At 36.3% G+C, this 24,417-nt stretch overlaps 2 long non-coding RNA genes across 2 annotated transcripts in view, besides 1 other annotated feature; both read right to left on the bottom strand.

Annotated features, from left to right (window-relative positions):
• LINC02398 (long intergenic non-protein coding RNA 2398) overlaps window positions 1-24,417 on the bottom strand; it is an 84,184-nt gene that overhangs the window by 59,071 nt on the left and 696 nt on the right. The window contains exon 2 of the long non-coding RNA NR_040098.1: window positions 20,102-20,166. This is a non-coding gene — a long non-coding RNA (long intergenic non-protein coding RNA 2398). The remainder of the gene's footprint in view (window positions 1-20,101; window positions 20,167-24,417) is intronic.
• Window positions 348-6,343, bottom strand: LOC124902893 (uncharacterized). Its single transcript, XR_007063238.1, has 2 exons — window positions 4,162-6,343; window positions 348-1,915 (listed from the first exon to the last, which is right to left on the bottom strand). It is a non-coding gene; the product is annotated as an uncharacterized LOC124902893 (long non-coding RNA).
• Window positions 3,893-4,088: a silencer, noted in NCBI's record as "fragment chr12:20188644-20188839 (GRCh37/hg19 assembly coordinates)". NCBI's record gives its function as "represses an EF-1alpha promoter that drives an FKBP-Casp9 reporter gene in an ReSE screen in K562 erythroleukemia cells {active_cell/tissue: K562}" and the evidence as "EXISTENCE:reporter gene assay evidence [ECO:0000049][PMID:32094911]".

The raw sequence follows: 24,417 nt of genomic DNA, 5'->3' as shown, positions 1-24,417 counted from the left end.
CTGTAAAAAGTGTAGACAGTTTGGAAAGCACGAGCAGACTAGATTTATATGCGGAGGGGTGAGAATAAAGAAAGAAAAGACAGCGGGAAGGCGCACTTTCCTTTGGGAGTGCAAGATTTAAGACAGCAGCAGTTCATGTCTGTGTCAAGAAAGGAAAATTTACAAATTCAGAATAGAAGCTTAGTTTTTACTGTATTTTGCAAAGAGAATTTCTTTCTTTCTTGAGAAAGGCCATAGATCCTGACAGCACATGTCAGAATGGGAAAATATTGCTCGAGTGAGCTGCCTACTGTGAATATAATGAAGTGAAATTTGTATATTTTTGTTTAGACTCAAAAGCACCACCATTTACTGGTATAAACTCATTTTAATGAGATTAGACAATTTTAGTAATAAAAATTTACAAGTGGAGTAGCTAAATGGTAAAATGGCAAACATGATGAGAATAAACATACATAAAAATCTTTCCAATTTTCCATGCAAAGTGTCCTTACAACAGATGATATAGAAAAAGACCATTTATTTTTCTAGCACTATTCTTTCCTTATGATGAGACTAAACGTACATTTGCTACTTTCTCCTATGCTGTTTTGGTCATTTACTACCATTTGAGCCATGAGATATGGCATTAAGTAACACTCTTACTAAAAATAAAAAAATTCATATTGGTTAAACTGATTATTGAAAATAGAAAAAAAAAGCATGTGCTTTTAAAACCAACAGATATGAATTAGTATTTTACCTCTAAGAGTTTCTGAATTGTGAGTGAAATCAAAATATTGCTCTAGGGCAGCAGTCTTGAAAATGTATTCTATGGACCCATAGGGGTCCTAGAGAACTTTTCAGGAGTTAGAAAGATCAACAGTGTTTTTATTATTATACTAAAGTGTTCTTTACTTCTTTGTGTTCACATTTGCACTGTTGGTGCAAAAGCAAAGGTGAGCAAAGCTATTTGTGCCTTAGCCCTACATAAGGCCATGGCACCCAACAACTTCTCTATACACTCTCAATCTAAAAAAAAAAAAAAAAGGTTTCAATTTAGAATTTCCTTCATGAAACAGTAAAAATTATCAATTTTATTAAATCTTGGTCCATTAGTCTACATCTTTTAAACATTCTATGTGATGTAATGTGGCCCACGTAAAGCATTTCTGCTGTATAACAAAGTACGATGGTTTTCTCAAGTAATAGGATATGTGCAATATTTTGAGTTGCAAACAGAACCAGGGCTTTTTTTCAGGAACACGATTTTTACTTCAAAGAATGCAGATAAACTATCACTGTGCAGATTTGTCCATTTGGCTGATAATGCCTTCAAAATGAAAAAAGCCAGTTACTTCAAGAAAAACAATTGACAGGCTTATTGCCAATAATAAAATGCAAGTTTTCAAGCAAAAATTAGAATTTTGGAAAACTGCTATTTGCCACTGTGAGTCTGATTACTTCTCAATACTTAAAGACTTTTTAAATGAGCTCAATGGCTATTTTAATGAAAACTGTTTTTAATAACATATAATAAAATATGTCTACATTTAGGAGGACTGTATTAACTCAACAAATCAAGAGTTTCCAAGTGAATAATATATCATGTTACAAAACCAAGGATGGGTAAAAGTACAAGAGACCAGCAGATTGTAATGTACAGAGTAGATAAACTTCATTAACAAGCTTTCAGATCTCACATCGCAACTGAACTTTAAGAAACGATCACTTGAATTTTTGTATAATATCAAAAGAGACTACTCACAACTACCTGAAAATGTTACTAAAAGATTCTTCTGTTATCAAATTAGATATCAGTGTGAGGCTGGAATCTTCATTTCCTTCCACCAAAACAACATGTTACAAAAGATTGGATGCAGAGCAGCTGTAAGGGAATCAGCTGTCTTCTATTAAAGCCAGACATTAAAGAGATCTGCAAGAAGCAGAAATAACACACAGTTTTCATAAAAGGGTGTAATTTACGATATGTGTTAGTTTTAAATAAACTAAAATATTGTTTAAATTCTCAAGTTTGACTTCCAACTCAATAAATATGTATAGATATAACCCACATAGAAAAACACTTTTGGGATCCTCCGTAATTTTTAGGAGTATAAAGTGTTCCTGAAACAAAAATGTTTGGGAACTATTGCCCCAGTCTAGGGTTATTTTCACGGTCATACTGTGGACAAATATTGATTGTGGCACACATAAAGACAGTTTTGTAAGTGTGAGTGGTGAGAAAACATTTTAAAATATCAATCGTCCAGAGAAGATTAGAAAATTTGCACACTTTATGAATGGTTCCAATAACCCGCAGATTGTCTCATATTAGACTTCCTCCTGAGCTGATCTCCAGTCATATAAGAGTGCATATTGCTATCACCGCTTGACAAACTGGTGTAAAAATTAAGGAAACATAACTTTTCCTTGTAGCATCTTAAGAATAACAAGTTGTCCTTGACAGTAATAAAGAAATAACGCAGGGAATTCAGAAGAAAACTATTTCAAGGGAGTCATAGAATAAAAGCCAGAGTAATGAGTTTGGTGACAACAACACTGAGACAAGAGAAAGAATAGAAACTGCTTTAAAAAATTTGCAAAATCTACTGATCGCAGTGATCCTTCTCTTTTTTGTTGACATACTTAAGAATAAATTTTAGAATAAAAAAATTCTGGAAGATATCTCTGGTGACTTAAATGTTCTAGATACAAAGCTGGTCGCTCATGGTAGTTGGATGATGTGTTCATTTCTACTTTTCATTTGAATGTGACTTAGAGATAAAGAAAGAAGAAAGAGTGAATTCATGTTGATATCAGTAGTGCATGTACCACTCAGAAAATTGAAGTCGGCCAGTTATATTAACAGAGGGGATGTGACAGAAAGGATTGTAAGGTATTATGGAAGTAGAAACTGCAGCAGACAGATACCACTCCCTAAATCTGAGGAAACAAGAGGAGGTTAGTAAAACTCAGAAGCTTGGAAGAGGGGCCTTGCAGAACTGAGACCGAGGCCTCTGAAGAGGGGCTGTTGTCTGTCTGGTGTTGGTGCCTTAGTCACCTGAAGAAAGGGGCCACCACAGAGCTGGGACCCACACTTCCTTGCAGGAGCCACTGCCCAACTGAAGCGGATGCCTCAGGAGCAAAGAAGTCAGTTGACCTCTAAGGAGAAGAGTTATTTCTGGGGAAATTATAGAATCCTTATGTGTTAGTGCTCATATTGCCTTGGAATTGAGAATACTACCAGTGCAAGTAAAAATGGAAAAAAATAAATTAGAATATCATGCACAGGACTACATATATGCTAGACTCCAAATAAAGCTGATGAGAGAAAATAAATGATAGAAAAATAAGCAAAATTCAGTTGCCAGAAACTTAAAAATGATTGTAGTGCAATCTATCAACATAATTTCAAATAATTAAAATGAGAAAGAAAATCACCTGAAGAGATGTTTTAAAAATATGAAATATAGAGGAGGACATGTCAGCAAGGATGAATACAACGTATGTCACTGGCCTACCAAAATTGTTTCTGAAAAGTTATAAAGACCCAGATAAACAAAAATCATTTTTAAAAAAAGGATAAAAATATGGGTAATTTTAAATGTATAACAAGAAAGATAATGCTCTAAAAGAGAGATGAACTATGTAAAGAAGATGTTATATGAATAAACATCAGAAAAGTTACTACTCCTGTATTTTGTTACCACTTTCTGTTTCAAGATAGTACTCTAGGCGGGTACAGTGGCTGACACCTATAATCCCAACACTTTGGGATGCCAAGACAGGAGGATCCCTTGAGACCAGGAAGTTTGAGACCAGCCTGGACAACACAACAAGACCCCATCTCTACAAAAAAAAAAAAAAAAAAATTAGAAAAAAGTAGCTGGGTGTGATGACATGCACCTGTAGTCCCAGCTACTTGCGAGGCTAAGGTGGGAAGATCGCTTGAGTCCAGGAGTTCGAGACTGCAGTGAGCTAAGATTGCACCACTGCACTCCAGCCTGGGTGACAGAGCAAGCCCTTGTCTCTAAAAAAAAAAAATTAGAAAATAAAGATATTACTCTTTAGTTAATAAAGGGGAGAAAAAAATTGTTTTAAAAAGAACTAGAGCACAGTGAAGGTGAAACATGTGTCAGAGAATATCTAATTTAAATAAATTCCCTTCTCTTAGCTCACCTGAATTGCCTCCCAGAGAACTGAAACAAGGCACAGATGTTCACTATAGAACCAACATCTGGAATCTTTGAAAACTAAAGATGGGAGGAATGCCAAAACTCCAAACTAAGCAAACATTTTCCTGGTTATCTAAGAACAGAAAGGACAGATTCTGTGAACCAGAGTTCAGTAAGTTTGATATACATGTTTTCAGTATTGGTTCTTGAAAAAATTTGTGATGCCAGCATATATCCCAAAAGAAAAGTCATGATAAAATAACCCCATTAACTTTCTTTAACAAAGATATTAGACAGTGGATAGAAAACTGACATAGATACATCATAATTTAAATTAAAGAAGGTAATGATACAAACTCTTTTGACATGTTTGGAAAAGTGTCAATGGTGACATAAATTTTTTGCAGTAACCAAACTAATGGGTACGTATCGATAGATTAATAATCTAGAGGGAAGCCAAGACCATGTGCTGTTGACCAGTGAGTTGAAGGAAGACATGGAGACAGCCTCATCAAGTGTGTAGATGACACTTTGCTGGAGGGATATAGCAAATACATTACATCTGGATTTAAAAAGATCTCCAATTAATGGAATGAATGCTATGATGAAATCAAGAGATGCAATTTATCATACATAAATATAAAATCATGCTTTTAATTTTTTAATTGCAGGATACAATAGTCCTTTTGTGGAAATATTTGATCTGAAAAAAGACCAGACAGTTCAGTTGACCACAGTATATGATAAAGCTGTCAACAATGCTAAAATGTACTATCCGGTTACATGAGCTGATACAGTATCTGAATCCAGGTATTGGTGGAAGGGATTATCATACTAAAATTTCCAAGTCAGATAACCTGTGGAAAAGAGTATCAATATACCCACTGGAAGAGGGACATTGACAAGCTGAACTTTATTCTTAAAAGGTCAAATGAATTTTTAGACACCCAAAATGTGTTGGCTCATGAGCATTTAGCCTAAAGGAGAAAATAATAATTTCACTAATTATCTATAAATATGTGATGGCTTATTTTATGAAAAGCTCATTCTGAGTTTGCAAGACACTAACCAAAGACCACAGTGAGAAAGTACAGAAAGTACCTTAGGTGAACACACAAAGAGCCCGCCCTAGTAAAACCATCTCATCATGGGACATCAGTGTCCCAGAAACTATCCAGACAGAAGGGAGGAGGTCAAGTGGAGATCCTACAAGAGGATTCCTTCATTTAGTGAGAAGTTGCACAAGCTTTTGTTCTAAGATCTCCACCACTTTATACTTCCATAATTTTATATAATCAACAGTATCTAGAGACATCCAGCTGTGTAGTTAACAAGTACTATTTGTTAACTTGTATTACTCAGACCTCAGTTGTCTTCTTATACTGTCCAAGCAAATTAAGAAAAGCTGAGGTATAGTTGAATTATTTGGGTAATAGTAGCTATAAAAACTCAAGTAGAAAAGGGGGTAGTCACAACTTCAAATTTGCAATAAAAAAACAAGTTTATTGTGAACCCACAAATGGATCTGGCTAGTATTGTATTTTAGTAAGAATCAAGAGTGAATAATAAAACAGCTCTGAAAGTGACGAAACAACTGTACCATGTAATATAGACAGTCAGAAATAAACTTTGTTCAAACAAAATTCTATTTGAGTTCCACATACGTGGCTTTTCCTATTCTGGGTCTCAAAATCCTACCATAATAGACACATAGAAGCAGCCTAGTTCAAATATCAATTTCATTAGATTCTGTACTTCTGGGCATTATGAAGGAAGGATTAGTAGAGTGGTTGAGAGCCTGGAATTCATTAACTTCAGCATAAGTACATACTGCAATCTCCAAGGGAGTTCTAACACATTTTCCAGTCATCCTCATATAAGGGACCAGTAGAAGTCTTTAGCGAGAATAATTAAGGGAATATTTCAGAAGCATTTCTGTTGTATACAAGGCTGGTGATCCTCTTCCGTGTGTCTGTGCAATTCTTGTCCTCTGTTGGTCTCTATTGCGGTAATATTTCCTTCTTTCAAGAGCCTTATTATTATAAGAGGAACTTTTACCCTGTTACATGCATAAAGTTAAATTTACATACAAATTACTACATATCAACTAGTCACAAAGCACAAAGTGTTGAAAAAAACTTTTGTAAGCAGTCTTTGCTTACCTCTCAAATGCTTTGCAAAATGTCTATGCCTTTTTTTTTTTTTTTTTTTTTTTTTGAGATGGAGTCTCGCTCTGTCGCCCAGGCTGGAGTGCAGTGGAGCTATCTTGGCTCACTGCAAGCTCCGCCTCCCGGGTTCACGCCATTCTCCTGCCTCAGCCTCCCGAGTAGCTGGGACCACGGGCACCTGCCACCACACCCAGCTAATCTTTGTATTTTTAGTGGAGACAGGGTTTCACCATGTTAGCCAGGATGGTCTCGATCTCCTGACCTCGTCGTGATCCACCCACCTTGGCCTCCCAAAGTGCTGGGGTTACAGGTGTGAGCCACCACACCCGGCCGTCTATGCTTTCTTATATTATTAATTTTTACCTTGAAGTTGCTTTTCTATAGTTTGTTCACTGATACAGCCCTGCTGCCTAACATAGGGGCCCTTTGTTCCCCTTGATCAATATTCTGTTCTCCTTGGATTTTGCATGAATTCATCCTGCTGTTCATCCCTGTTCTAAGCATGGATATATTCTATTCCCTTCAATGTGAAGAGAAATCTCCTGATTGGGGGCTGCATTAGAGAGGAAAGGAGACCTCCAATAGACCAACTCGGAGACTACATGATACCCTATATTACCCATTACCCATCAATTGCCCTCCTGGATGGTGGTGGCTCAATGTATTGCTTGGTTTGGTTTTCCTTTATTTCATGCCCCCTGTTCTATGTACTAAGCAAGCATGAAAATAAAAGGTATAAACAGAAAAATACTTAGAGAAAAAATTTAAATTTTTTCCATACTATATCATAGGTAATATGGTCCTACACATCTAAGATATTATATCAAGTGGCTAGTTAGCATTTTCACAGGGAAACTCCATTTCACTAAGTTTGACAGTTGCTTTGACCTGAAAATCACTTCCCCTTGAAAACTACTGAACTTTTCTCCTGGCCATGATCAGAGACCTCTAGTCATGCATCTTCTGTACTTTCCCTATTATCACTGTAGCCCCAACAGGCTCAGTGTCCTTGATGAGTTGGTGAAAGGGGTACAGAAATAAGAGGTCCCATTTCTCCTGCCAGGCTACTTTATGAGCAGACATTATGCCTCAATCTTTTGTGCCTTAGGATCTGTTTTCTCATAAAGTAAGTGTAGTTTATTTACCATACTCAAGCTCTATGCAGCTACAGTTTGAGTTAAATAGGGTTTAGAAGACTGTCATGACAACGTACATAGCATTTATAATGTTATTTCTACAGGGGAATGTACCCTTCACTTCAAAGAATTGATTTACAAATAATTTTTTAATACATAATTATTTGCAAATTGATGAGTTGTACTTACAGTCTTCAAAATTATACGTACACCACAGACATGCTATGGTATGTATTTTTCCTATCAGAGAGAACTAGAAAGTATCTTTCCCATTTGAGTGTAACTAATATCTAATTTTTTTTTTTTTGACAGAGTTTCATTCTTGTTTCCCTGGCTGGAGTGCAATGGCACAATCTTGGCTCACTGCAACCTCTGCCTCCCAGGTTCAAGTGATTCTCCTGCCTCAGCCTCCCGAGTAGCTGGGATTACAGCCATGGGCCACCACGCCTGGCTAATTTTTGTATTTTTAGTAGAGACGGGGTTTCACCATGTATGTCAGGTTGGTCTCAAACTCCTATACCTCAGGTGATCTGCCCGCCTCAGCCTCTCAAAGTGCTGGGATTACAGGAGCGAGCCATCGCACCCAGCCCTAAATATTTTTAATAACACTAACTTAAGTCCACATGATCTGTAACAGTAAAGTATCAGGTATTGTATACATGTTGGTTTATTTTCTTCAACTTGTCTTGACTCACACACCATTTTCACACCTTGCTGAAAGTGTTGGGTGTCAATAAAGCAAGATACAAATAGATTTGATTCATGAATGTTTGAGCTCAAGGAACAGACACCTCCTGGCACCTGTCCATAGGTGGGACAGGTGATCTATTGCTTCTCTGCAATAGTCTGTCTGACTGCAAAAAATATATGATTGTTGAAAAGGTAGCTACTTGTCCACCTTGAATGGGAAACCTTGCTGACTTCGATTTCAGGTCACAAAAATTGTTCGGGGTTCTACTTTTTCTGAGATTTGCAGAGCGCTGCCTAAAGAGCATGACTTGGCACAAAGCTCCTTTATTTCAGATTTCATAGATTTGCTGTATTCAGTATCAAAATATGCTGTGTAGGTAGCCAGGAATATTGCACGTTATGTTTATATTCTAGTTTTGACCAATTTTTCTAAACGACATCATCTAAACTTGCCAGTTGGCCTAATGAGAGTTAAGAGAGGAGAATCTAAGGAATGTGGCTTTCCTCAAAACAAACTGAAAGGTGAAGTCACAAAGCACACAGTGTTGAAAAACCTTTTGTAAACTAATAACAACAGCTGCTTAATAAATGGCTTTTGCTGGGATGGAGGAGGGAGTGCCTGCCTGCATAGCTCTGCACACAGGCAAGTCCATCTCATGTTAAGTCAGAGGAAATTCAACAATGTTATCTAAAACATACAAAGGGCATAAACTGATATAACTTTAAATCAACTGTGTAAATATTCTTAAGTAGATATTAAAAAAATGTTTTCTTTTGTCTAAACTATGAAATATGGAATTGGGTAGCTTTCCCATTTCCTTTTAGATTGTTTAGGACTCACACTACTTCTATTTCCTGTTTTTTTTCCTTCTAATATGAACTGTAGAAATACAAGCATAAATTTAAAAAAAGAAGAAAAATAGGCTCTGGTCTAACTCAACGTGTATTATGACTTAGCCAAAATCACGTATACGTGATGAAAATTAACAAGAGGTTTCCATCTCAGGAGGAACATGGTGTTTCTTTTGACTTTGCATTATGTAACATGATAAAAGGACTCCATTTTCCTAACCTTTTCTGGCCATTTCAAACCACATTTACTAGCTAATATTAGTTACTGCTTGTTTCAGTTTTTTCTTACATGTGAAAGTATAAAAGCCTCCAGGAAGTTAATATTAAAGTTAGATGCTCAAATATACATTGATAGAACAGAATTTTGGAAACAACTTGATTAAAGTACAATCATATACATTAAAATTTAATGAGAATTCAAACAGAAAAAAATGTAAGTTGTACTGATGAAAATTATAATTGTAGTGTTAGGTAGAAATTCATTAGGGGATAAAAGGGATATATATTGCCCAGCTTGAGACCAGCCTGGGCAATATATGCGATACCCATCTTTTCCAAAAATTGAAAAAAAATAAAATAACTAAGCAAATACCTAGAGCAAAATAGCATTGTACCTGAAAAGGTGGATTGAAGCAATACTATTAGAGGTATTTAAAAGGCAATCTCAGGATGCCATGGAAGTTCTCTGAGCAGGGAAACTGCATTCATTTATTAATCCATTTAGCATATAATTTGGGAACACACACTATCTATAAGGCATTGTCTTAGGGGGTATGGGATGAAATAAAGGTGGGCAGTCTCTCTTATCTTTAGGGAGATTCACAGTAGAGAAAGCAAGATATGTATACAAATAAGCAAATAACCCATATTATAGTTGATTCACTCTACCTTTTGAGATTCCAATAACATTGAATCAAATCCCCACTCAAATTGAAGAGGAAAATTAGTGAGCCTCCTCTGATGGGGTTTTTACATTGTGCCTATTTATTTCTAATACCAGTTTTGGCCAAGTTCTCAATGTCTTGCTTCTTAATTCTTGACGCTGCTTCCTTCTGTCTACCATGTATTGACCCAAACATGGAACATGCTTTCTTTTCTCTGATCTCCCCAAATATAACTCACACAATTTGTACGTGTTGGATGTTTTCTGTGTGCATCTCCAAATCACTCTCCACTTTATCCACTTTGTCTTGTAACCTGGGAGTCTGAAAGTTATGTTCTGCTCAATGGTCTCCCGTGCCCACTGATTTCCAGTTGGGTTTGGTGAATGGAAGATGCTGGCAAGATCAGAGTAGGCGGGTAAAGAAACGTAAAGGAATTAATTTTTTCAGCTCCCTTCTTGGTGGATTGCTGCATATTGCCTGCGTTTATCTACCTACAGCTCCTATAATATCAGGTGAATGGCCTTCCCAACTAAGAGAGAGGCTCTCTCTGGGTTCCTTCTAGTTAGTGCTTCTTTTCTATACCCCTTTAGGTCTAGGCAACTGCACTATCCCTTCTTTGTTTTCCTAAATCCTGATGATATCTCTTATGTAATCACTTTTAAAACTCTCCTTGGTTACCAAATTTGAGTGACTATCCCTTGCCAGGACCTTACTTGTTAAAATGGAGAATAGAGATTTCCTAAATATTTAAGGTATAATAGTGAGGGTTACACTATAGCACACAGTGTAACTTCAATATCAGAGAGCAGTTTTTTTTAAATTTCTTTAAATTTTTAAATCCACACCAACATGGCACACGTATACATACGTAACTAACCTGCACGTTGTGCACATGTACCCTAAAACTTAAAGTATAACAAAAATAAATAAATAAATAAATAAAAGATTCTGAGAAAGCCACCAACATGGTGAAACCCAGTCCCCACCACACACACACACACACACACACACACACAACACACACACACACACACACAAGTTGTATATATTTATCATGTATTGCATGTTGTTTTGAAATTGTGGAATACATTGTAGAATGGCTAAATTGAGATAATTAACATATGCAATGTGTATTACCTCACATACTTGGCATTTTTTATGGTAAGAATACTTAAAATCTACCTTTTAGCAATTCTCAAGAATACAATACATTGTTATTAGCTATAATCCATAATCCTGTTCTTAAAAGCCTTTTATTGTTTTCTCTCCTCCAATTCTATCATCATCTCTTATACAGCTTGAGACATTCATTATATTGCTTAGCCCTTTTCTTGCCTATAATTTCCCTTCCTCCCCACTTTGAGTATTTTTTCTCCAACCTTTCCCACATCTTTATATATATGTTGAACTCTACCCATCTCTCGGTCTCATCTTTGACATGCTCTTAGGTCTTTCTATAATCAAAATCATTTCTTGAAATGTTTTACTAAATAAAGGCAGTTCTCGTTCTTGCCTCTAGCTCATTTACTGCTCTTCTGACTCCTAGATATTCCATGAGTATAATACAAAAATGAGAGTTTTTCTCTACAATCACAGAGGTAGAGATTCAAAGAAATTAAAAGAAGTGGTAAAAGGAGAAGTAAGTTCATGATATGGGAAAGCATGACTCATGTGAGTAGTTCTGTTTAGCTTATTAATGATGAAAGTGGTGTTTGAAAAGACTAATTTGGCAGTAGTATACTGGATAGATTCAGGGGAAGAAAAACTCAAGGCAGGAGACCAGCCTATTTCAACAGTTTATGCAAGAGTTGATTAAAAAGTTCAACCTAGAATAGTAGTATGATAATAGAAATCAGAGCACAAATATAGAAAAAATAGGAGACTGTTAAAACAAAAGGTTAATCTTAATCTCTATCCTAAAATGAAAAAAAAAAAGTCCCAAACTGAAAAAATGGGTGTTCTACAATAAGATTAAAAATAAATTGAAGAATAACATTCTTTTTTTCAGGTTCAGAGTGGAAGTTTAACAGGTGAAAGAAAGAGAAGGGTTCTCTGCACAGAGAGGAGTCCTGGAGAAATGGGCTGCTGGCCAGGCGTGGTGGCTCACCCCTGTAATCCCAGCACTTTGGGAAGCTGAGATGGGTGGATCACCTGAGGTCAGGAGTTCAAGACCAGCTTGGTCAACATGGTGAAACCCCGTCTCCACTAAAAATACAAAAATTAGTTGGGTATAATGGTACATACCTGCAATCCCAGCTACGCAGGAGGCCGGGGCAGGAGAATCACTTGAACCTGGAAGGTGGAGGTAGCAGTGAGTTGAGATGATGCCACTGTGCTCCAGCCTGGGTGACAGTGCATGACTCATCTCAAAAAATAAATAAACAAATAAATAAAAGGAAAAGAGAAAATGGGTTGCTGCTTCCACAGTGAAGTGCACGAGGTTTTATAGATGAGCTTGAGGAGGTGGTGTTTTACATAGGGTACGAAAGATTGGTTGGATCAGGTATGCCATTGGCATAGTGCATGAAGAAGCTGGCCACCCCACCCTAATCTTTTAAGAATAATATTTTTAAAATTATATATTGTCTTAGTCCATTTGTGCCGCCATGACAAAATACCACAGACTGGGTAATTTATACATAACAGAATCTTATTTTTTACAGTTCTGGAGGCTGGGAAGTTCAAGATCAAGGCGCCAGCATTGGTGTCCGGTGGGGGCATTCTTGCTGTGTCCTCACAAGGTAGAAAAATGGAAGGACAAACACTGTGCCCTCACATAGCAGAAGAGCAGAAGAGCAAAAACGGCCTAAGCTAGTCCCCTCCAGGTTTTTTATAAGGCACTCGTCCATTAATCACTTCCCAAAAGGCCCCACCTTTCAATAAGGATTGAGTTTCAACACTTGAATTTGGGGACCATTCAAACCACAGCATCTATATACATCTGTAAAATAACTTACACTTGCAGCACTATATGCCTAGCAATATACTGACACATTAATACTTGGAGATTAAAGTGACTTTTGTGGTCACCTAGCTAATTGGTGATAGAGCTTGAAATGAAAACTCCAGCATCTAACTCCAAAATATGTGTTCTTAACTATTAACTTGTTTACTCCTTGTTCAATTATTATTCCCATTCACAGAAGTAGACATTATTAACACTCCCATTCTACTGAACAGGAAAGAGAGGAATACAAAGTTCAATAACTTGGTCACAGCCCTAAAATAGAAAAGCATGAATTTGACCCAGTAAGCCAAACTTGGAGCCTGTGCATGTTATGTTAACCATGACATTATGCTGCCTCTCTGAAGACATCTTATCAATAAGGCTTAGTAATTCACTTCTTTAGATAATGAAACAAATGAGGTGTAAAACGAACCTGAGGTTTTAAAGTTAAGACAGCTAGACTGTAGTAAAAATCTAGCTTAGCTCCCTATTACCTGCTCTAACTTGAGCTAAGCTCAAGCTCCTTATTTATGAAATGGCTCAATAATCCTTTCTTCATGATATGGTATTGAGGCTTGGAGGAGAAAACATCCATAAATGGTTTAATGTGGGCCTTGTACATACTATGTAGTTGAAGACAACAATCACACCTGTTCACCTTGTATGTCCAGCATCACACCAGACTCATAGGAGACAATGTAAATTTTGCTTAATGTATGTATTAATCAATTAAATAACTGATTGACAGACTGATTGATTAATAGAGTTCTGAATCACCCATCTGATTCCAACAACCCACCTCTCTTTTCTGGCTCATTTCTAGTCTATCATTTTAAACTTGAATCAATTTTCTGTATATCCTATATCCATTAGTAGATTTAAAAAGAGATGATAGCAATTTTAGAAAACATAAGGATAAGGCAAGTCTAATACATAAAGAATTTCATCCATTTAATCATACCATCATCCTTTTAGACTGTTCATTGCACAGAAAAATTACAGTTTCAGAAACCTCACTCTTTCTCCCTCCCAAATAAGATCTAAAATGTTTTATTGTATCTGACTCCCTTCCTTCCTCTAAAAACCATGCTTCGGTTTTTTAATGAAAAAAAAAATAGACAAAAGAAAAAGAAGAATATAATTCTGAGTTATTGAATTTCTGATTCATTTTTGTTCACTAACTTTTTTTTTTTTTTTTTTGAGACATGGCCTCACTCTGTTGCCCAGGCTGGAGTGCAATGGCGTGATCTCAACTCACTGCAGCCTCAATCTCCCAGGCTCATGGTTCTGCCCACCTCAGGATCCCCAAGTAGCTGGAGCTACAGGCATGCACCATCGCATTTGGCTAATTTTTGCTTTTTTTTTTTTTTTGCCTTTTTTTTGTAAAGACACGGTTTTGCCATGTTGCCCAGGCTGCACTAACAATTTGAACTGGGTCTTCAGTCACCAGGTAGGCCTGTAAGTAAATCTAGAGTCTTGAATATTGGTGGCATTCCAAAAAATTAGCACAAATTGAATGAAAAATTTGTAAACTTTCCTTCAGTTGGCCAAAAAACAAAACTAAATAAAATTTATATTATAAAAAATAATATTTAAATAGATTATTAAATTTTATTAAAGTAAAATTTATATTATAAAAGATAATATAATAACATTCTTTGATTTTTCAGTCTTGGGACAGTTTTCTGAAGGAGACATAAATGATGCTTTAAAAAAGAATGTACTCATGGTCATATTTTGGTAAATTTTGGTAAAATGCCTTTCCGTTTCCCACATTTTGCCCTCCTCCCCTTCACACCCCCCTCCCCATTCACACTGGCATGTCAAGTTTTCGTGGTAGTCAGCTCAGTCAGTAAAGATAGAGACTTTATGTTTTCAAGGCATAGGTATGGCAACATCATGCTTGGAAGAAAATAAAATGTGCCTGCAACTGTGATCGCACATGCCATAAAAATAATACCACCATCTGCAAATAGGAACTCACATTTGTATTAGGCTGTGGCTTATTTTCTACAGAAAGAGGACTCGTTTAATCATTTTTCATGGAAAGCAAAACACTACAAAGGAAATATAAGATTTTTTTTGACATTTTACTCTTTCAATGCAGATCTTTGTTCTTTTTCAGAGAATAATATTCTCTTAGTAAGTACCTCTTTCGCTGTCATGAAAAGTCTAACTTTTTAAGAATGAGAATCTAAAATGTCTGTCTTCTAGCACAGATTAGGAGGGACTCTTCAAAATATGCTATGCTGTAAATCGGGGAGGCTTCTGGCCCTTGTCTCAAGCTGTGTTGTACTAAACATGTTAAATAAATCAGCAAAGAAGTATTTTTAAAGATAAAAATAAAAATATTCATGCTCATAATATATCAAGTGACCTCTGAAATAAGAAATGGCATAAAAAAGAGGAAAATTAAAATGCGGGATGGGTTGCAAATTCATGAAAACATATATCTCCACTTTTCCACGTTCACTCCCTGCTGCTGCTGCTGCCACTCCTGTTCTCGGATGCTCAGAAGAAGCTTTCTCGTTTACGAACACACTGATATTTCCTCTAGGGAAGGAAAACAGTCCACTAGTGGTGCAATAACCTAAAAGGGAAACATCTGTTTGGAGCATGGAGCAATTTGTTGGCCCAGTTCACAATACAAAGATTGCAGCTGAAATCCTCTATACGATTCTGCAGGTCTCACCAGATCACAAGGAAAGGAAAATTGGTCTTTATAGGAGCATCTCCTGGGACCTAACTGGATTAAAGAATAGGCTGTGTTTTTCATTTAGATAAAGTTTTTTTAGATAAAGATTTTTTTAATAGTACAGAAAATTCGAGAAAAACAGCACTTAATAAAAGGATACGGCTAAAACAGTAAATTTTACGTTATGTGTATTTTATCACAAAAAAGAAAGATAAAAGGAAAAAAACAAGACACATCCTACTCCTCACATTTCAGATTCTAAAACAGGTGTTAAAAACCCCAAATCTGAATATTACCAAAGTAAATCTAACTTGAAGGAGACTTTTGCTGTAAATTTGCATCCTCAACTTTTACTAAGAGGCCTTTTGTTTCTGTAGAGACTAATGTCATTTTTAAGGTTTTGGTCCTTCAAAAGGGCCATCCTCTCATCCTATCAAGCCTGTGTTCACTGAGAGGGTTTAGAACATACCCAGAGGTGTGAGGATCTAACATTAGGTGTTACATGTACATGAAACTAGCATGAAAAAGAAGAGATAGGAATATGTTGAAAAGTTATTGGAATATAAACTAATCTAAAAATAAATACATAAATACTGTACCTCTTTTCAAAGCACCATACTGAATTTTACAAGTAGACAATAATGAAGTGGCTAGACAAATCTGGCAAACAAACTAGGTGCATTAATTACCATGAGGCTGCTGCTAACCGACAACTGTTTGGTGTCACCCACCATACATTTGAAAATAATTGCATTTAAAACTGGGTATCACTGGTTATATAGTTTGGGGCTAATTTATTTATTTTCAAATTGCTTCATAAAACATAACTGATAAAAGAGAAAATAGATACATTAGGCAACATACTCACATTTGAGTCATATCTAATACTTGTATGTCAATAAATTAAATAAAATCTAAACTAACCATTGTTAATAAAAATTCCATTTGAACTTCTATAAATTTGTGGTCATATGAACCACTGTAGAATGTAACTTGATTATTCCACAATGTATATGTACTTCAAAACATCATGTTGTACATGATAAATGTATACAATTTTATCCACAATTTAACAATAAAAAACTTTTTAAAAAATTAAGAGGATTAAAAAATGATATGTCAGGTTAAGTGCAGTGGCTCACAACTGTAATCCCAGCACGTGGTGGCACCAAGGTAGGAGGACTGCTTGAGTCCAGGAGTTTGAGACCAGCCTGGGCAAGACAGTTGGACTCAGTCTCTAAAAAAGAAAAAGAAAATTAGACAGGCGTGGTGGTGGTGGCGCACACCTGTGATCCCAACTACTCAGGTGGCTGAGGCGGGAGGATCTCTTGAGCCCAGGATTTCAAGGATTCAGTGACCTGTGATGATGCCACTGCGCTCCAGTCTGGGCAGAGAGCAACACCTAGTCTCTTAAAAAAAATTTTTTAAAGATATGTCATGCTGGCCAAGCACAGTGGCTCACGCCTGTAATCCCAGCACTTTGGGAGGCTGAGGCGGGCAGATCACCTGAGGTCAGGAGCTCAAGACCAGCCTGGCCAACATGGCAAAACCCCATTTCTACTAAAAGTACAAAAATTAGCCGGGTGTGGTGGCAGGCACCTGTAATCCCAGCTACTCAGGAGGCTGAGGCAGGAGAAGCTTGAACCAGGGCGGCCGAGGTTGCAGTGAGCCGAGATTGAGCCACTACACTCCAGCCTGGGTGACAAAAGCAAGACTCAAAAAAACAAAACAAAAACAAAAAGGTATGTCATGCTAACTAATCAAAAATAAATAAAACATAAGTTTAAATTAGGGGAAAAATATAATTCAAAATTATTAAAAGAGAAAAGAAAAAAATTTTATCTCTTTATTTTAAAAAAATTCCAAAGAAACTACAGACAATCCTTTCACAACATGAATTTAGAACTTTTCCTCGTCATCCTCTATTTTCAAAGAAATGACTACATACATTTGATGTATGATCCGATTCAACACAGGGCTACAGCTATCAGTGTTTTAAATAATCTATTATTAGTTAACAATAAACTGACTGGTACAACAAATCCTTACTTGTCAACAGGTATTTGTCAGGAGGCCAGACTTCTAGTTATGATGATGAGTGTTTGTGTTACACTGCTAAGTTTGCAAAGTAATTTTTCACATGCAGTATTTCATTTGAATCCCACTGCTCCCTAATAAAGTATTATCACCAGTCTCCTTTGACAGAGAAGTAAAGTGACAAAGTCAAAACGTTAGTACAGAAAAGAGTTTCAAATAGAACTCTGCTGCTATAACTCCAGTTACGCAGAATCTTTCCAAAAAAAAAAAGCTCAAAATACAACTTGAAATGCAGAAATAAAAACAACCACAAAGGCTTTGAGAGTTTTAATTATTTGTATCAAGTGAATATTCTAGTATTCAAGCACTTTTAAGTAATAGTTCATAGTTGATACTTTGAGACCTACGAAGAAGGCACAAGACAAAAAAGAAAGGAAGGAAGGAAGGAAGACATAAGAATAATAAAAGCATAAGGTTCTGTTGGCAAACTTTGTTCTCTCATAGGGCAACATAGGATTATCATTTATCAGTACTTTCTAGGGGGTTGTCATAACAAAGCGTCACAGATTGGGTGATTGATTTAAACAACAGAAATTTTGTTCTCCTGGTTCTGGAGGCTAGAAGGTTGAGATCAAAGAGCAATGACCACCTTTTCCCTGAGTCTTCAGATCATCTTCCTTCTGTATGTGTCTGTGTCCAAATTTCCTCTTTTTATGAGGGCACCAGTCATACTGGATTAGAGCCCACCTTAATGACCTCTTTTTAACTTAATTACCTCTTTAAAGACCCTATTTCCAAATACAGTCACATTTTGTGGTACTGGGGGTTAAGATTTCAACATATGAATTTCAGGAGACACAATTTAGCTCATAATATATAACTCACAAATATTTACCACCCACTTACTATGTGCAGAGCACCATGCTGAACTCAGAGTACTAATCCCTGCCCTTGATGGAATATCCACCTATGTATGTAGATATGACACAAAACTGAAAGCTAAATAAAACTCCAAAAGTCAAATGACAACAAAATAGACTATTGCAACTTCATAATCTTTTTGGCCCACATGACAAAAGTTATATTTTATCAGTATATCCTTTTCAGTAGGGAACTATGTACTAGATTTTAGGAAGAATACTCCTCAAATGGTTAAAATATTTATAACTTGCTGTTCTGTCAACTGCCTGAAAAATCAATTAGCATCATATATTCCATTAATTGATAATAAAGATATCACTATTATATTATCAGAAAAAAACTTTTTAAATGACTAAGAAAGTTAGTACATAAAATATACTAAAAAAGGGAACAATATGAATTTGTAAGTTTGCAACAAAGGGAAAAATGTAAATAATGTGATAGCCACCAGTGAAAGGAATAAATAGCTTTAAATACAGTGGCTAGCTTCAGCTTGTTTTTCTAGTTCTTTAAAAATATATGTATAGTTTCAGCCGGGCGCGGTGGCTCATGCCCGTAATCTCAGCACTTTGGGAGGCCGAGGTGGGCAGATCACGAGGTCAGGAGATCGAGACCATCCTGGCTAACACGGTGAAACCCTGTCTCTACTAAAAATACAAAAAATTGGCTGGGTGTGGTGGCGGGCACCTGTAGTCCCAGCTACTTGGGAGGCTGAGGCAGGAGAATGGCATGAACCCGGGAGATGGAGCTTGCAGTGAGCTGAGATGGCGCCACTGCACTCCAGCCTGGGTGACAGAGCAAGACTCCGACTCAAAAAATATTCTCCTTTCTATTTTTTTTTTTTTGTACTTGAGGTTTTTGTTGAACCCAAACCAAAACATTTGAAAATATTTTGAAATATGTGAAAAGTATAATATACATCTGGATTTGCCCAACCCTAGTAAGGATACAGGAAGCATTATTTTTATTTAACGTTTATATGATAGCTGCAGTGTGTCTCAATCCTAAGGTATTTTTTACAATAGCCCTATGGTGCAGGTTATAATTATTATTTTCATTTTGGGCAAGAAATTTACCAGTACTTGCACAGTGGGCTTCAAGTAGAGGTTTTTATAGGTCTGTGTTCTTTAGAGGTTTTTGTTGGTAGGAACATTGAACCAGTAGACACAAACCTAGCTCCAAGTCTTGGCTTTACTTCTTATTGACAATTACATTGTATATCTTCTTGGTAGATTTTATCATTTTGCAGTTTCTCCCTTTCCTTACTAATATATTTTGATTTAAACACAATTTTGCCAGGTATTACTATTACTATACCAGCTTTCTTTGGTAACTATTTGCCCAATGTATCTGTGGTAGGCAGAACAATGACTTCCTAAAGATGTCCACATTCTAATCCCCAGGGCTTGTGAATATGTTACAGTATATGGCAAAGGGAAATTAAGGTAGCAGATGGAATCAAGATTTCTCCTTAAAATAGGGAGATTATTCTGGGTATGTATTCACAAGGACGCTCAAAAGTAGAAGAGAGAGGCAGAAGAACAGAGTCAGAGAAATAGATGTAATGACAGAAGTAAGTTCAGGGTTATGTGATATGGTAAGGACTTAACTCACGTTGCTGTCTTTGATGATGGGGAAGGGACATCACAAGCCAAGGAATGTGCGAGGCCCTTTAGAAGCTGGAAAAAGTGAGGATGAAGAATGTTATGAGATATATATTAGTTATCTTTGCTGCTGTAACAAATTACCACCAATTTAGTGGTTTAAACAAAACAAATTTAATATTCTCCTTTCCTACAGCAACTTGATTTGCCTATTAACCTTAGAGTCACTGTCTTACATGCCATAAACATTTATACTTATCTTCTTTCCTTAACAAGTTTCTGGAAATGTTATGTTTAATGACATATATTCAAATTAAAAATATTATTATCTTGCCAATTATCTAGCAAGATTAACAGTAAAAAATAAGTAAACATATTCTTTAAAATTTTAGCAATGTCATACAATACTCAAGTTAGAAGTGACTATATGAATTTTCTATATAATTCCCTCGTTACGAGTGTGTGTGTGTACATGTTTTTAGTTTTATTCTAAATCCTGGTTATACCTGGCATCATGCTGGCATTTTTGGCTGTAGTCAAACACAGATCAGTGTCTTTGGAAACAAGTTAACAATTTTTTTTAATTTGAAATGGTAGCTCAGAATGCATTATCCTCTAAGACCCATTGTGGACTATGGACTATCTGTTTTTGTTTGTTTGTTTGTTTTTGAGATGGAGTCTCGCTCTGTTGTCCAGGCTGGAGTGCAGCGGAGCGATCTTGGCTCACTGCAACCTTTGCCTCCTGGGTTCAAGCAATTCTCCTTCCTCAGCCTCCTGAGTAGCTGGGATTACAGGCACCCACTACCACGCCTGGATAATTTTTGTATTTTTAGTAGAGATGGGGCTTCACCATGTTGGCCAAGCTGGTCTTGAACTCCTGACCTCAAGTGATCTACCTGCCTCAGCCTCCCAAAGTGCTGGGATTACAGGAGTGAGCCACCGTCCCCATCCCCAGTGTGGACTATTTCTCTCCACTTATCTAACTTTACATTGGTCATATAAGTAACTCAGGTAACGTGCAATGATGGTAATAAAACATCTTTTATTTGAGATGCATTGCATAACTCATGCCTCCTATTATAAACAGACGTCATCTAAAGAACAATTACTCCTTTTGATGTTTATTTACAATCCTCACCCTTCACATGACAAAATGGTGGTTAACATTAATTAGTTTATTTAGCCATAAATTTTTTTCAACTTTGGGTAACACCATCACAATGAAAGAATGACATTACATAAAAGGGCAAAAAAAAAAAAAAAAAAAAAAGCAGAAGCATGACCTGGTCAACTACTTTTATTGGGTTTGAGTTGATACATTATCAAAGAAGACTGTCATTGGTTTTATGATACCTGTTAATTTTTAACCAGCAAAATAAATTTATTTTCACTCTTTGTCATGACTTTGTGCTTGATTACTTGCTTGCTTTCTCTCTTTTTTCCTTTCCTTATATCTCTTTCATTTTTTCTCTTTTTAAAAATCAGAGTATATTCTCTCCCTCTTATCAATACCCCCAACTTTTAACATCTAAATCTTTAATTATTGTAATTTGATATATTCTCTACCCCTAGTGATTATCAGGAGGAATATACATCTGTAGTATTCAAATATACTTGTGGAGCTAGAAAAACTGAAATAAAATTGATCTCTTAATATATCTAGTAGGAAATTACAATCAGCATTCTATATTTATGGAGAGCAAAAGGATTGCTCAACTGTAGGGTGAGGTCAACTACAGGGTGGCTTTATGGTGATGATGGGTCAGAACAGTACTCTTGGAGAACCAGAAGCAGAGATCAAGAATAACCTTAATTACCAACCTACTCAATGACCTTGAACAAATCAACAAGTTATCTTTTTTCTTTCTCCTTGACAATTATTTCTTCTGCCTGTTGGCTTGGACTGACCTAATACAATGCCCCAATAATTTAACTCCACTAATTGAAACTTTATATGGTATGAATTTATGCTTAACTTTATACTCTATACAATGTTTGATTATGCAAATCACAGTTTTGAACAAGACTGCATAAATATAGGGTTTTGATTAAACTACTTAAATAGACAAATTGTGATCAAGTACTTTAAGAAGCATTGTTTGCCTATAAATATGATTCTTACTATGGTTGATCATTTCTTGGTCTTTACTGAAGGTCTGTCAGGACTTCTAATTATTAGGGGCCCTGTTATAGGAATGTGAATTATTCTGTATTTGGAAGATATAATATTGCCTTTTGCTAAAATTCCTCTATAATTTCAATATTTTACCCCAACATAGTTAAGTTAGTAATAGTTTGCAATGTGAATTAACAAGATAGGGATACTGAAATATTTTTAGGGAACCAAATGATGTTATGTGGTCATGGCTATAAAGCATTAATTTTTGTTTATAAAACTGAGTTACATTCTCGTTGTTTTCATGAAGTACACAGAATCCCTCTCCACTTAATTGTTCCATGCTTGTTTCTGTCTTCAACATTTTCTTGTGTTATAACGTGGTTAAATCAGTTATTTTTTTACCTCCTCAAACCATTTTATAAATTTATTCATCTTTCAATAGCCTTTGTAATGGAAAAATTTCACTTTTTCCCCAAATTTCCTTAGGTTCTCTCTCTTTTCATGAAGGCAAAGAAACCCAAAGTATTAAAATATAATTTATAAAATTTGATTGGTGTCCTGAAAGTCCCATTAAAAATAATATGCCATTACCATGAGGCTTACTAGAAAGGAATTGGCAAACAATCTCAACACTATGAGGCTGTTTTGTGGAAATAAAGGCACAGCATATTATAACCCAAACCACAAGAAAATACTAGTTCACTATTTCAGTTGGATAACCCAAGTCCTTCTTCCTGCCTCAGTAAGTCTGGGGGCATTTGTCAAACAGCTGCTCTCTTTTATTCAGAATTAGCTGCATTTAGTGGTAGGTTAAATGACCGCCACATGCACAATTCGTATTTCGTTTTACAGGGGACAAATGAGTATCCTCAGACACAGGAAAATCAAATGATCACCCAGTATATGGCCTTTATAGTGTATGGTTTTGATCAGAGATCATACACAATGACATCACCATCTTACACTATTTATCATGGCAGCCAGTGTTTTTCTCTATGAATTCCAAGAAGTGCCAAGATCTATTTTATTTGTAGGATTCAGCCTTCTAGAACCATTGTCTACAATTTTGTTATTAAAAGTTTTCCTAATTTTATTATTCCCATAATCAAATTTTTAACCTTAAGAAATTTCCCACAAGGATAGCAAGGTAGGTTCCATAGGGTGCTGGAATGTTTAGCGTTATACTACTAGATTTGACCATTTGCCTCATCAATTAATAAAGGAAAAAACATAATGAATCCCACAAAATATAATATAATCCAGAAGAGAATTATCAGTTCTAAATTTTCAATTGTTATGGATGTAAAAGACATTCTTCATACTAATTTTTCTACCCAGCAAAATTATGAAGCTTTATCATGTGCCTTATAAAGACTGCCACACAAGACCTATTCTTGGTACCTCTGGGAAAATGGCACCATCTTCCTATTTTCTAGTTCCTTATCCAGCGGAAATCACATGCATCTAAAATGGCTAGAAATTATTCCTAACGGTCTTCCAAACTGCATGTTGGGAAGAACTAGAAGCCACTAGAAAGATATTCACTGAGCGTTCATTTCCTAAATGATGCAATCAGTTTCATTCATATTCGCATGCAAGAAAGAGGAAAGAAAGTGGTACCTGCCAGGGCCGGGAGCGGTGGCTCAGGCCTCTAAATCCCAGCACTTTGGGAGGTCGAGGCGGGCGGATCACGAGGTCAGGAAATCGAGACCATCCTGAATAACACACCCCGTCTCTACTAAAAATACAAAAAATTAGCCAGGCATGGTGGCGGGCGCCTGTAGTCCCCGCTACTCAGGAGGCTGAGGCAGAGAGAATGGTGTGAAGATGGGAGATGGAGCTTGCAGTGAGCCGAGATTGTGCCACTGCACTCCAGCCTGGGCGAGAAAGCGAGACTCCGTCTCAAAAAATAAAAAAATAAAAAAAAAAAATAAAGGAAAAGAAAGCGGTACCTGCCTCCATGATCCTCTTCAACAGATCTGTAAAGACTGTGTGTGTGTGTGTGTGTGTGTGTGTGTGTGTGTGTGTGTGTGTGTGTGTGTGTGTCTCACTGGAAGGACAGTGGCTCAACAAAAGGCTTTTGTTGTTGTTGTTCGGGAAATAACTGTATTAAATCTTCCTTGAAACAAGACAAATATCTTAAGTATTTTTCATTTGAAAGTAATAGAAATCCACCATTCAAGTTCAAGTGGAAGGGGGAATTGAGA

This window comes from Homo sapiens, chromosome 12 (assembly GCF_000001405.40).
Source record: "Homo sapiens chromosome 12, GRCh38.p14 Primary Assembly".
In the NCBI taxonomy this organism is placed as follows: domain Eukaryota; kingdom Metazoa; phylum Chordata; class Mammalia; order Primates; family Hominidae; genus Homo; species Homo sapiens.
This window is presented reverse-complemented; position numbering and strand designations above follow the sequence as displayed.